At 41.1% G+C, this 14,685-nt stretch overlaps 1 protein-coding gene and 1 long non-coding RNA gene across 3 annotated transcripts in view; one reads left to right on the top strand and one right to left on the bottom strand.

Annotated features, from left to right (window-relative positions):
• The window catches only part of LOC107986289 (uncharacterized), a 37,189-nt gene that overhangs the window by 17,391 nt on the left and 5,113 nt on the right, over positions 1–14,685 (top strand). Inside the window, exon 2 of the long non-coding RNA XR_001741728.2 lies at positions 12,278–12,372. This is a non-coding gene — a long non-coding RNA (uncharacterized LOC107986289). The remainder of the gene's footprint in view (positions 1–12,277; positions 12,373–14,685) is intronic.
• The window catches only part of PARM1 (prostate androgen-regulated mucin-like protein 1), a 116,998-nt gene continuing 109,052 nt past the window's right edge, over positions 6,740–14,685 (bottom strand). For both annotated transcript variants that reach the window (XM_011531833.1, NM_015393.4), the window contains one exon: positions 6,740–10,690. In XM_011531833.1, coding sequence (XP_011530135.1) covers positions 10,606–10,690 — 85 coding nt within the window. In that variant the 3' untranslated portion in view covers positions 6,740–10,605. The remainder of the gene's footprint in view (positions 10,691–14,685) is intronic.

Genomic DNA, 14,685 nt, shown 5'->3' with positions numbered 1-14,685 from the left:
TGACTACACTATGCTATGTATCTAAAGCAATAACATTTGTAAAGAACCTGCCCAGTTCCTGACATAGAGAAGAAGCTTAGTAGATGTGAGCACTTTGCCTATCTTTTCAATAAATACCCTTTGAAATTCTCATGGAATGCAAAATGATATAAATTTTTCAGCTGGCCTACATGGTTTACTAAAATGTCCACTTTTAAGTAATAGTGGCATCCCTGTACTCTTGGAAGGCACACAGAAATATATGAACACACCTCTCTCTGATTAGGCCCACCTTGGATCATCTTTTCTGTTGACACTTAGGAGTTTCAGTTAGCAAGACATCAACATGCACTCATGTGTGTGCAGTGATATCCTGCAGAGCAGCTGTCAATGATGACAGTTTGGAACAGAACAGCTGGAGGGCAGACCTGAGTTTCTAATGACTGAGAAAAAGTCATGGAAATAAGGCAGCCAAAGGGCTCGTGGCTGACAGTGGTGCGCACCTCCCCACGTTACTGTTCTGGGTTTCTTAATGGGGATGCTGTAAAAATTGTAGGTGGTACAATTCCGGGTTGTGCAGGACTGTCCTGAACAAATCAACCTAGACTATTTCTTTCTCTGTAGCATTTGCAGCATCCTTGACTCCCAGATACTAAATGCCAGTAACTACACCAGTCATAGTAACAACTAAAAAACACAACTAAGAGATGCTGCCACACTTTGTTGCCCTGGGGGAAGATGTGGTGTTATCACCCCTATTGAGAACTGCATCCTGTGGGGCCTTTTGGATTTACCAGGCTTATGTGTAGAAGGTGTGTCTTACGTATTATCTCCCTTCTCAAAATTGGGGGCAGTATCCCAGCATTAGCACCACCTGGGAGGTTATTACAAATGCAAGTCTCAGACTCCACCTCAGAACTATGAATTAGAATCTGCATTTTAACAAGATCTCCAGTAATTTGCATGCGCATTAGAGTTTGAGAAGCATTTCCATCCTAGGTAGAACATGGATTTTGGAGTAAGAAGGTCCAGGGTTAAAATTCAGTCTCTGACTCTTACTAGCTGTGTAACCATGGGAATGTCACTTAACCTTTCTAAGCCTCAGTTTTCTGCTCTCTGAAAAGATCTTAATTCCTCATGTGTAGGCACGTAACAGGTATTCAACAAATGTCATTTCTCTTCTCCTCTCCAACCTTTCATCAGAGAACATAGTCAAGAAAACCACTTTAGCTCTTTGGATATCATTAGGGAATTATTACCATAGGACAGTGTGGCAAGATAAAGAAAGATGACTACTTTCTCTCTTTTTCCACAGTTAAAGACACACTATATATCAAGTTCCAGTTGTGGCATTGCTGGGCATGGCAGATACTCGAAGAGGGGTTGATCTGGGTGTGACCAGGATTAGAAAAGGCCAATACCCCTGGTTCAAACATGTCAGTTAGGAGGAACAAATCAAATTCCCAGATGAAATCTGGGACTGATGGCAAAGGATAGATCTTCACAGGGAGAGCCCAGAGAACAAGTTCAGGCCCAGGAAGTCAGTCAGGCAGATGGTGGGGCACGAGAATCAGAGAGACATCTGGAAATAAGGAAGAGAGGAAACACTTATCAGGACGCTCTCACATCCTTTGGCCTTATCCTCTTCTTGCTCCTGGTGTACCCCGCACATTGCTCTACCAAGGTGCCCATTATACACTACAGAATCTTAGATTGGACTGTTTCATTAACAGATTCAAAGCATTTTGAAGATGAGTTTTTGAGAGGTCATGTCTTGTTTTATTGTTTCACCTAAATATCATATGCAATTTCTAAGAAAGTATCTGGAATGTGTAAAAGAATACTGTTTGTTAAATGATTGAAGGGATGAGTGAATGAATGTTTTGCTTCCAACACTGTAATTTCCATCAGAGGCCATTCCTTAGAGAAATCTATGGGGCTTTTAGGAGAGCAAACATTGAGACTCTCTGTGAACAAACACATCCTTGTTGGTTTCAACTCCCATTGGCCTGTAATCAGGTAGCAGCCTGGATTTCCCACTGCCACCTGTCTTCTTACATCCAGTGTCTCAAGCCTATGCTTCTCTATAGGAGAAACCAAAGGAAAAAGGATATAAAGTTGTCAGAATTTTCAGTCTACCAGTTTTTCTTTGCTCATGGTTTTGGCTATGGTTAGATTGAGAGTCTGTTACTTTTCAAGGACCAGCTGCCTAAGTTTCTAGGAGATCAAGGAGGCTAGGAAAGAATGTTTGTGCCTTTCTTTACTGAAAAGCCACCTGCCAGCCCCCTGGGATTGCTCAGATGGTCAGTGCCCCAAATTCTTGCTCAGGGATTTACCTGAACTCTCATAGATGAAGCAATGAAACTGGCCTATAGGAGACAGACATGAAATCCAGCCTCTCCACCCTTTGGAGGAGAAGCCAGCAGGTAGGTTACACTGGAAACCCTTAGAAGGGGACAGGTAAAGGCCTCAGGTTGTGTTCCCTTGAGTAGAGCTGCTTGATGAACTTGGCTCCTTTCCAGAAATGGATGTTCAGAAGGAGGATGGGACAACCCGTCAGACAGTCCCTGGGCCTAAGGACGTGAGATTAATTGTCATTGAGGATTACTCATCCTATAAAAGTTAAGTGTATTTCATTTCATTGCTTATCAGCTCCAGAGCTTGTTATCAGTGGCTCAGTAAAAGCATCTGCAGCCTGAAATGTGTATGAAATGGCTCATGGCACTTCTAAGTTGGAAGTGAATACATTTAAGAAAACCTTGTTCTTTCTCTCCCCCACGCTTCCTGGCATGTCTTTTATCAACTCCTCGCTGTCTGAAGGATGCATAGGTCTTCTCAGAAGAGCTCAAGCAGAGATAGGAGAGCTGGGGGGAGTTAGTGGGCAGATCGGGGCATGGAATGGTCCATGGCTCTTCAGGCATCAAGCCAAGGGCTGAGAATGGTTCTGAATCCCTTCTCTATTTTCTCCTCCACTTTTTCTTTACCTTTTTGGTAAGGGTAGGTGAGGAGGGCTGGAAGGATGGGGGAGGAGAGAGGAAAAAAACAATGAAAATAGGAAGGGGAATGTATTTGGAACATTACATGCAATGTGAGCTGGTCTTTCTTTTCAGTGGTAGAAACATTATTCAGTTTAGCAGCTCCCTTTTCCTTTTCTAGTACCCAAGTGTTAGCCGTATTCTGAAGGCAGCTTTGAGTCACCCTGCCACATAAAGAACCAGGATGAAGTGAAATGTTGACTGAGGACAAGATGAACATGCAATGATCAGTGGAAGAAGAAAGTTATAAATACCAGTATGGTCATATGACTAGGGGTAAAAGGGAGTCTTTAGTAACTATGCATATTCTCTTGTTTGCTTTGATATGTATATGTGTGTGTGTGTATAAATCAGTTCTTTTTCTGTCCTTATTCCCTTCTGTCCAATATAAAGTGAGTTAAAGTAACTAACCCTATAATTTGGTATCAAAGGAAGACTGCATCTGAACTGGGAAAGGCATGAACATTCCCAGAGATAAAAGCAACATATGGAATGATGTGTCTTCCTTTTTAGGGAGAAGGTGTGTGCATCCTCAGTTGTGTAAGGAACAGTTGCATAATGTTACAGATAACATACTGTTGTTATTGACTTTTTGCCAAGTTCTCATTTGGGGTAACAGAGGTGGCCTGTGATTATTTGCTTATTTTTAGCTCAGCATTATCACCTTTTCTAAGATCTTTGTAATACAGAGGAGAAGCCAGAAATTACATTTCTCAGAATGCTCTTTCCCTTATGGCTCTGGCTAGAGTTTGTCTATGAGAGGTTCTCAGGCAAGATATGGAAGATGGAAAAAAGGCAAAGCCATTCTTCTTCAGAAACAGTTGCATCAGGTGTGTGGGCAGGTGTGACTTTCCAGTGAGCTCTTGAGAACCATTCACTTCACCGTTGTAGCCTGAGATGGTGGCCATTTTCCAGAAACCCTGGCATTTTAGCGATTATCTACTGGTGGTTTCCCTAATCTTTTCTCCTGCTCTCTCAAAGTCCGTATAAGAAACTAAGTTTTATATGAAATCCACAACTTTGTATTAAAACTTTTAACATATATTCCAGAAATACACAGAGCAGTTTTTTGGTTTCTCATGTCAAACCTCTGAATGTCTTGGCACAGTGGCTGGCAGTGAGCATTTGTGTCTCACACTACCTGACAACACTTGGCTTATGACTGATGTGAACTTTTCAACACTCTTCTCAGTGGTGTTTGTTGCAGCAAATTCTGTCCAAATGCTGAGGGAGAAATGGCTAGTGGGAGAACAAGACAGTAGTATAGACTGTCTCATTACAGCTGCTGTATGGACCTGGTGACAAGGGAAGGGTCAGCCTGGAGTGTCCTGCTGTTAAGTTGGTGGTTGTCAGATGAGTGACTTTGACTGGAAGTGCCATGGTGTAGACAGAGACAACTCACAGTCTGCCAGGTCATCAGTTCTGAGGGTGCGACTGCTTTCAAAAGATCCCAAGCCACCATCCTGATGAACAGGAATATGTAAAGGCTCAACCACAGAGCTGCCCAGTTGTGGGTGCCCTTAAAATAGGCCCTTTGGGCCACTCTAGAAACCTTCTTCAGGGAGAAAGCTGCTTCTGCATTGGATGCCCAACTTTGGCTTCAGGTTGTCTCACCTGGCTGGGCATGTTTGATGGGCAGCAGCACATACATGTCAAGAATCTCTGGCATGGAGTGAAAATTTGGCTTGGGAGTGGTCCAGAGCATGGACCCTGGAGACCCATGGTCCCTATTTCAATTCTGCCCCACCGCTGTGTGACCTTGGGTAATTTTCTCTACCTCTTTGGCCCTTAGTTTTCTCTTCTGTACAATAGAGATGTTAATAATATCTATCTCATAGGGATGTTAACCCATGTAAAGTTCTTACAACAGTATCTAGTTCACAGTAAGTGCTATGTGAGAATAAGCTGTCAATATTATTACTACCCTGAGGAAAGACAAGTTGGCCCAGTGATGGAATTTCAGGGTAAGATCAGGGAGAGACTCCGAGGGCAGCATCTCTAGTCTAGGCTGCCATGAATTCACATCTGATTCTTGGGAAGAGCAGGGAGGCTGCAAGTTGAAATTAGGAGAGGTTTTCACCAAAATTCTGTGAGACAATGGGGCTCTGTGCTGGTGTCCTGACAGGACAGGAGGGAAGGCAGTCTCCCCTTTGGCAGAGAACACAGCCATAGATGTGGGAGTCAGCAGAGACAGTGTCTGGCAGGGGATATGTGCTTTAAGAGCTGACTGGGCTTGCTCTGGACTGCATGCTAGACACCCTTGAGACTGCCTGAAATAGCTGAGAGGGACTTTGCAAGGGGCAGAAGGTCTCATATGAGCAGCAGGTATGAGGGTCTTAAGACCCAGGTTAGATTTACATTGGACACCAGTCCTTTGGGTGGTAAAAGACGAAGGGCTCTGGTGCCAGATGGACATGGTTTGAACCCCACCTCTTCCACTTACTAAACTGTAAATACTTGGAGGACAGGGACTATCTTGTTCATTACAGAGTACATAGAAGGATTCAATATGTGGATGAATAAATTTAATATTCTGGAACTTCAGTTTCCCCATCTGTAAAATGGAGATAATGTAATGACCGCTAAAGCAGATGCAAGGATTACACTAGATAATGCTCACAGACACCCAAGTTTCCTAAAGAATATTATACTTCTGTTTTTGTAGTAATTATTGTGTATCTTGCTTAGGATAAAAACTCAGTATATTTGTTGACTCAAACTGATTAATGGTGTTTTGGTGCAGCAAATGTAGTCTACATCTGCCAAAGACTAGGTCCTTTAAAGGAAGGCATCATGCCTCTTATAGGTTTTTCCCAACATGATCAGTGCTTTTAAAGGTCATTTATGATTCAGTGCTTTCTGACAGAAGTCAAAACATAGTCAGCTATTGGAGAGTGCTATTGAATTTTGGGGGAGTAAATAATAGGGTTTTTAGTTGCTTTTGTGCCCACGAAATGCTCCTCGAGAAATGACCAAATAATTAATGGATAGGGCCTGTTTCATGCTCAATCCTCATTCCATATCTTGACTCTTCCCAGTCAATCCTCCATGCTATGTCACTGGGAGCCGAGTAACTAAACTTATGAAATCTGACCAAGTAACTAAACCTATTAAACCTGACCTCAAGTTTATATCCATCATCTAATCAACAAGTTCTAGCTTGCAGGTGATCTATTCCTTTCCTATGGAACAAAATGAATGGGTTTTGCTGCTGCTCTTTTCTTTGGAATCAGAATCATCTTTAGTTTGCTTTTGGGGTTTGAAATTATATTTTGGATGACTGAAATTGCCTGCTATTTAACTGTCAGATAAGGATGAGTATGCTGAATTTAATTTTTAAAGGGGAGTGAAGCAAATGTCAAATGTATTACTAATGCCAATATACTTTAATATGACTTGATTATGTATTGCTATCAACTCATTGAATCAAAGTGTTTGTTTTTACATCTATTTTATAAGGTCCAGAGTATATTTGAGAGTAAAATCACTGCTTGAAAAGTTTCTTCAATTCTTCAATTCTTGACAAGTTTCTTCAATTCTGACATTCTTCAATTCCGTTTCAAGGTCAGAAAGACCTTTCTGCTATGCAGAAAATATTTACTGGTGTGGGATACATTTTCTTTAAGAACAAGTCAAAACTACTTAATATGAGTTGTGTTGAGCATATCAATCAAGTGGTTTGAATAACAAAATATATCAAAATGTGAATCACCCACAGACAGATGGAAGCTTTTATCAACTTTAATTGATATAATTATAATTGGTATGCAATATGTCTTACAACAAATGTGGATACAATGACATCAAATATCAAAGAATTTTCCCACCTTTCCATCTTTAAATGACTTCAGCTAACTTACCCCAAGAGAAAAATCTGGCATTGATCTCTTGGTTAGCATTATTACCAATATCAACTAGCACTATTAAAATCAAAGTTGAAATGGTACATTCATTTGCCAAAAAAAAAAAAAAGAAAAAAAAGGCTTAAAGGCAAAGAAGGTGAATCAACGTGCAAATTAGCATCTGGCCCAATTGCAAAATTCATTTCCTGGATGTGAGGGATTGAACCATGCACACTTGCAAGCAAGATGAAGGGCAAACAGATGACATCAAATCAAAATTAACCCCACAAAGAATCCAGAAGACCTCAGATGGTAAAGGACAGAGGTCTACGTCTACTGCTGTTAGTGCTCAGGTATCCATCCTGTTTTCCCTAATCTCCTGATTCTGATCCAAGAGTCTTTGAGACCTATGTCCTAGGCCATCCTTTCATCTAGAAATGGAAACCATGGCTGTGGCACCAGGCATGGTCAACCCTGCAGTGATTCAGCTGCACAAAGGGGTAGTCCAGAGCTTAGATAGCTGTCTGATGTGGCTAGGACACAACTGTCATTTTATGGAATAAGTTAAAACAACACATTAGTATCACAGCAAACAAGAAACTGAGATCACTTATATATCTATGTAATAGTTAAACTGTCTATAAGTATTTTTCTCCAGAAACTGAAAATACCATAGACATAATTTTATTAATCCTCACAACACATCTGTGAGGTAGTATGGGGTGAGGTCAATATGAAAGCATCACCCCCATTTTAGAAATGAAGACACAGACGTGCAGGGAGGGCAGGAGGTTTCACTGGGGCCACAGGAAAAGAAAACAAAGTTGAATCCCGCTCTTTCATCATCTGCAGTCGATGGCCGAGAAGAGGCGGCTTGCCTCCCTCCTGCTCTGACATTCTCTCTAAAGTGTTATGACTAGACCTATCCATGGATAGGATGTGGTTGTTTAGACCCACTGGAGCCATTTCCTTTAGGCAGACCTGGACAGGTGCTCTCCCTGAGGTCAAAGACGTCAATTTTCGGCATATATTTCAGATGTGTGTGTGTGTGTTATAAGTAACATTTGTAGAATATAGTTGCTAAAATCTTCTGCCCAATTCAAAAGCAGAAAAGATACATTTGGCAAAATAAGGTTCAACCCTTAAATATTTTATTCTCACATAAGATAAGAAGTGTTAGAATTGTTATGGGAAGCTGTCACCTTGCTGAATATATCTGCTCTAGGCCCACATCTCTCTCTTTGCCATGCACATTTGGAAGCCAATAAGAGCAACAGACCCATTATGTGCCCTTGCACAATAGCAGCCTTTCGGTAAGAAAAAAAAAATGCCTGCTTGAGTTCACGGTTTATAGAAGGCGATGGTTCCTGGGAAGAGGCTGATCCCTTGCCCCAGGATTTACGGCAGAGGCAGCATTCAGAAGTGCACCTCTCCAAAGGTGTTTCACAAACATTGTGTCAAAATGTTTTTGGCCGATGGAGAAAGAAACATATGGAATGTTCTGTTTTTATCTGCTTTTCCTTTGCCAAACTGAAAGCCCTGTGATGGGGGTGGGGAAAGAGAGACAGTTACTCAAGCCAAGCACGGCCAGAAGGGGCGCCCTTGGTCATTTGCTGCCCTTTTTTTCTGAGAAGGTCCACTTTTTTAGTTGTTGTTTTCAATATTCAGAGATATGACGATTCCAGTAAGCCCCCTCCTCATTACCCACTCTGGTTGTAAAATACTTCTGGGGCTTGCTCATTCTCCGTCCACACTTAGAGAGTTTAGGAATAATTTTTTTCAGAATTACTCCAGTGTGTGGGTTGGCAGGTTGTAGAAAGTGGCACTGCCCCTACTGTCTCTGAGACCAGAGGGGTTTTCAGTGCTTTGCCGGGCCACAGCCAGAGACAGGATGAGCCGGGGTCAAGTTTCTGTAAACTAAACAGTCATGGCAGCAAGGTCCAACTTTAGAAACAAAAGTTCATTTTCAGGTTCTTTATGACACTGTAGGACAATACAACACATTTTGAAGTCGGACCCAATGTTTGTTTTCTACTATATGAAATCAGGACATAAGATGCTGCTTGCTAATATCAGCTGTTACAAGAAGACAGAGTTGTCGCCATGAAATAAAGCTCTCTAGGAAGCACACAGAAATAAAAAGGTCACCATGCATACCAAGAACAACCCATCAGCCAATAAACTAAACACTTTGGAAATAAAAACTTAACACATCATTTCATTTTGTTAAAAATAAAACGTATCACTAATCTGTGAGTGTCTTGTTCTGTCACAGTGGGCATTGTGATAAATCAGGGTTTCTCAATCTCGGCACTACTGATATTTTGGGGTGGATGATTCTTTGCTGTTGTAGGTTGTGCTGTGCATGGTAGAATGTTTGGCAGCATTCCTGGCTTCTAGTAGCACCCCCAAGTCATGACAATGAAAACTGTCACCAGACATTTTTGAATGTCCCTGGGGTGGAGTCAGGGGGCAAAATCACCTCCTGGTTGAGAATGATTGCAATACACAGATACCTACAAAGAGGAACAATTCTTTCTCAAAATTTATTGTGCAGAATTTTAAGACTATACCCAGGGTTGCTCATTTATTAAAGCAAAGACTTAGTAAGGTAAGTGTGTGGGAAGAATAAATGGATTAATCATAGTCTGTTTCCTATGAAAATGCCTCGTTGAGTAATTGCAGATAGACTAGTGCCTCTTTTTTGTTTTGTTTTGTTTTTAAACATTTTACAGCCATTATCCAACAGACAGTAAAGCAGTGGACCAGTTGCTGTGTGGGTATAAAGCAAACGGTCTCTGGGCTCCTCCAAGCTGTGGATATCTCTGGCCATTATCAATAGCTGATTCTCACTTGTCCTAATGAAGTACTCAGTGCAGGTTAGCCTCCTTCTCCCCCGCCAGCTTCTCTTCCACTTCCCCACACCGTACATGCCTCTCCCTTTCTCTCTATAACTCAGCTCATCTCATAGCCTTTTTCTTTGGAAATGCAACTCTGCTGATCACTTGTGGGCTGGGATCCCAGCTGCCTTTTGAACAGAGCAGACATCCTTTACAGAGACAGGTGGCCTGGAGGGGAGAACAGGTAGGGGCACACTGAGATCCCACAGCAACCTGAGAGATTCTGCCCCGTGACCTGCTGGCCCCCTCCAGGGCACTTCCTATTTTCATCTTTCATTAATTAGGCAGCTAAGAAGCTGCTTTCCAGCTTGTAGAGCCAAGCAGGCAGCATCCTGTCAGAAACAACCAGATAAATAGAGATTAAAAAGGAATCTGAGAAAACCCTGCTCTCTCCCATGCAGGGTGAAATCCTCGTAGAGCTCATTTCCTTTCCCCTCATTAATACTTAATGTAATTTCCTAAATAGAAGTTTAAGAAATAACACAAATGAAATGTTCCCCTGAAAGTAACCCCTAACAAAACAACCCAAATCCTCCTCCTCGGTCCTTCTCAAAGTGGGTCCTGCAGTGGGGAAAGAAGCCTTCACCATGGTGGTCTGGCCTGGCTGGTGCAAGGCTGGCCCACTTCAGCTGCAAATCAGCCTCCACTCACCTTTAAAGAATGGTTCTTCTTGTACCAGAAAGGGGAAGTTGTAGCAGCCAGAGGAGAGGGAGGAAAACAAAAACAACCATACCAACAAAACAGGGCTTAAGATTGTCGTTCAATGCGCATCAGGTACTTATTAATTCTACTGGATAAGCACTTATAAATAAAGAACAGTTAATCCTCATCCCAGGCCATATTCCATTGTTAGGAGTCATCGTACAGAGGGTTGTTGTAGTTTCCCCAGGACCCGTAGTCATGGTCGTCCAAAAGTCTTCCATAGGAGGAATGCCTGGTGGAGAAACAGAAGAGGGTTGTGATTACTTGGAAAAGTTGCCCATCTGAGGACAGCGTAATGCCCTGCACTGAACTGGGGATGCTTATGGGGCCAGGGAGAGGGAAAGTTGTGACGCTCTCACTAGGACAGCAGACCCACCCACCGTGGAGGCCCCGGTCTACCAAACACCCTGTCAATGACAACTCTTCCTGCTAGGATCCTGACTGGCATGTTCTGTTGGCATCATCTGAGTCCTTGTTGTCTTCTGGATCCCAAGTGCTGGGGAAGGAAGAGGAGGCCCCATTTCCATAGTAATTTAATAAGAAGAGATGGGAAAGGGAAGCTTGCATTCCTAACATTCTGACTTAGGTTCTGGGCTTAATTTTCCCTGAAATAATGGTGACACAACCACAACCACTGTTGCTATCACCACCTCTCCTGACATTTATATTGTCTTATAATTTATAAAGTGCTTCTATATTTAGTTTTTACTTGATCCTCAAAATAAGGCCATGGGGCAGGTATAGTTTAAACTTGTTTCTCTGACAAGGAAAATGGGGCTCAGAGATGTTAATTGAAGTGCCCAAAGTCATCCAACTGAGCTGTCAGCCAAATCCCCATCTCCATTATCTAAATCCAGCACTTAGAGCACAAGTTCTCAGAGTCTCATTAGCACCTTAGTTGAATGGCAATATGGGTTAAGCAGAATTTGGTGGATAATTAATTGTGAGACCCTCTTGCATAATTAATAATATATCTATAAGAAATGAAATCAGATTGTTATCACTCCTCTGTTCAAAACCTTTGAATGGATCCTCATCTCAGAGTAAAAGCCAAATCATTAAAATGCCTTGCAAAGCCCTATGGGGTCTGGCCCCAGCTACTTTTCTAAGCATACCAGCCCCTATTATAGGACCCTTGCTCCCTCTGCTATAACCATACTGGTCTCCTTCTCTTTACTCTCATGCCTGACACACCTTTGCCTCAGGGCCTTTGCACTGACTGTTTCCTTGGCTTGGAACAATTGTCCTCCAGGTCTCCACACAGCTCATTCTCTCATTTCCTTCAAGTCTTCGCTCAAATGTCACCTTCTCAGTGAGGCCTTCCTTAACAACTTGATATGGTTTGGCTGTGTCCCCACCCAAATCTCATCTTGAATTGCAACTCCCACAGTTCCCACATGTTGTGGGAGGAACCCTGTGGAAGGTGATCAAATTATGGGGGCGGGTCTTTCCTGTGCTGTTCTCATGATAGTGAATGAGTCTCATGAGATCTGATGGTTCTGTAAGGGGGAGTTTCCCTGAACAAGCTTTCTTTTTTATTGCCTGCTGCCATCCACATAAGATGTGACTTGTGCCTCCTTGCCTTCCGCCATGATTTTGAGGCTTCCCCAGCCACATGGAACTGTTAAGTCCAATTAAACCTCTTTCTTTTGTAAATTGCTCAGTCTCGGGTATGTTTATCAGAAGTGTGAAAATGGACTAAAACACAATTCAATTTAAGTTTTCAACCCCCACCCCAGACTCCCAGCTTAATATTTCTCATAGTACTCCTCACCTTCTAACATACTATATAATTTACTTGTTATTGCTTCTCTTCCAGAACTAGACTGTAACCTCCATGCAGGTATGGATTATTTGCCTGCTGTGTTTATTCTTAGCTCCAACTCCAGCACCCAGAAGAATATCTGACACACAGTAAGTCCTCAATACGTGTTTATGAAAGAAACAGTGATTGGAAAAAATAAATCCAGAGATCCCCCCAAAACTGATCTGTTCATAAGACGGGAGCTCCCTGGAAAGGAATATGGTCATTTTAAGACTAAAACTAATGGCAGGATTAGAAGAGCATCACAAAATGAGCATTTGTTACCTCTAAGGCTCATGCTAGCATATGAATTATTATACCTTGCTACTGGAAATCATGTATGCTAGATACAGTACAAAAAATGACCACTCCCACTAATTTTTATCTCAGCTAGATGTGAAAATTAAACAAAATGAAAACACAATTCAAAGGTGCAAAAAGCATTTGGTATACTTATATCTGTTGCTAAAATAATTGCTATTGCAATTTTGAAGCTTATTTACATCTGCCAGGTATTTGCAAAAAGACAATTTTTTTTTTTTTTGCAAAGAACTAGACCTTTGCTGTGCTCGTTTCAAACTCTTAGCCTTCAAAATTCTGATTTATGTCCTGAAGGCTGATTCAGCTGACCTAATCTATGTACCTGAAAACCTGAAGATGTTCCACAGTTTGCTTTCCCTAAAGGCTCACATTTATTTCTGTGGGTATGGGAATGAAAGAGACCATAAATAGAAACCCAGAAACACCACTGCTTCTTTGATCTATAGAAATAAGGGAGGTAGCTTTGGTAAACAAAGGTCATGGGCTGTCTATGGCCAACACTCTCCCCAAATGTGAAACCTCCAGTTCCAATCAAATCCTTTAACAGGATGGTTGAGAAATGGAAGCTGTAGAATGAACAAGTTAAAATCCGGTAACTAAAGCCCTGGAGCTCTGCCTAAATTTCAGCATAACTTACTGCTACAAGCCTGGCAAAATATACTCAATAAACATGCTCCTTTATTGATAGGGTACTCCTGCTTCACCTTGTATGGTAATTGAACTTCTCACAGAATTTTTATCTCTATCATATATTTTTATTCCCATAAAATGTGAGTTTGGTCAATAAATGTATGTCCTTGAATAAGTTTTTAACCCCCTGTTTCTTCATCTATAAAATGGAGAAACTTTAAAAAAAATTGCTTTATGGTTGTTAGGAGGATTAAATAAGGTAATGAATATAAAAGGCCTGCCACATAGCAAATGTGCAATGAATGTTGGCCAATATTGTTTTTAAATTTTTAATATAATAAATCTTATACAAGCACATGGTGAATCTGCCAAATAGTAAAAAATGTCATTGAATGAAAAGTGAACCTCCTCCCACTGGGAACTCTTGAAACTATACCCCAGGCATAGTTATAAAACCAGTTTCTTACATGATTGTTATTGTATTTGAATTTTTAAAGTTTATTAGTATGTTGGAATGGGGGTTAGAGGATTGAAAATCTTCTGGCTATCAGGTTTACTGGCTATGGTTATTTTAGGCAAGACTATTTGGTTAATGCTATATCTGAATCTCCTATACTGTAAGACACACCTCCTATACAAACACTAGTAAAATAAAGGAAAAAGATTGGCCTTTACTTTGTTTTTTTTTTTTTCCTTCCCATTAAGGAAACAGTGAGTTGAGTAAAATGCTGATAAGTGAGGAAAGATATACAAGAGATATGGATGAACCAAAATTGGGAATGTACTGAACCCATAGGGCTTATTTACCACATTAACGAGCTTAAACAGGAAAAATTGGGTGTACTGGGATTCCAGCCAGGTTTGGACAAATTGGATACTATTGTAGTAAGAGTAAGACAAACACATTTTTTGTACGTGTGATAAGAGGACAATAATTAGTGAGCATGTAAAACTTTCTCTCTAGGTCAGAACCTCTTAAATCATGGCACATTTTGGATGGAAATGGGGAGGTTTTCAGATTGGCATTTGCATAGTGTATGAGGTTAAAAAAAAAAAGACAATCAGAAACCAAAAAACAAAGCAACTCCCATTCTCAAGATAAGTAAAGTGGGACCCAAGGAATTTAGGTGACTTTGTCAATGTTATTTAATGGTAGTGCTGCTAATGAAACCAAGGTCTCTTTGCTTGCTTTATAAGGCAACATTGCTTCATCTAATTTCAACCTGAACAGCAATCTGGATGAATGATGTCATTGTAAGGTCAAAGCAATTTTATTTACTAAAAGTCTTAATAAAGACTGGCACTGATTCAATATAGCCATGTTTTCTCTTTGCTGTGTCTTGGCTCCGCTTAGATGGTAAACTTCTTGAGGGCAGACTATGTCCTACTTTTCTTCTAACTACCTGAAACACCTAACATGTTGCTGTTGATATAATGGTTATTTTATAAATATTTGATGATAACTGCTTATA

The sequence above is a fragment of the Homo sapiens genome, chromosome 4 (genome assembly GCF_000001405.40).
Source record: "Homo sapiens chromosome 4, GRCh38.p14 Primary Assembly".
NCBI lineage: Eukaryota > Metazoa > Chordata > Mammalia > Primates > Hominidae > Homo > Homo sapiens.
Note: the sequence above shows the minus strand (reverse complement) of the source record. Positions and strands in the feature narration are given on the sequence as shown.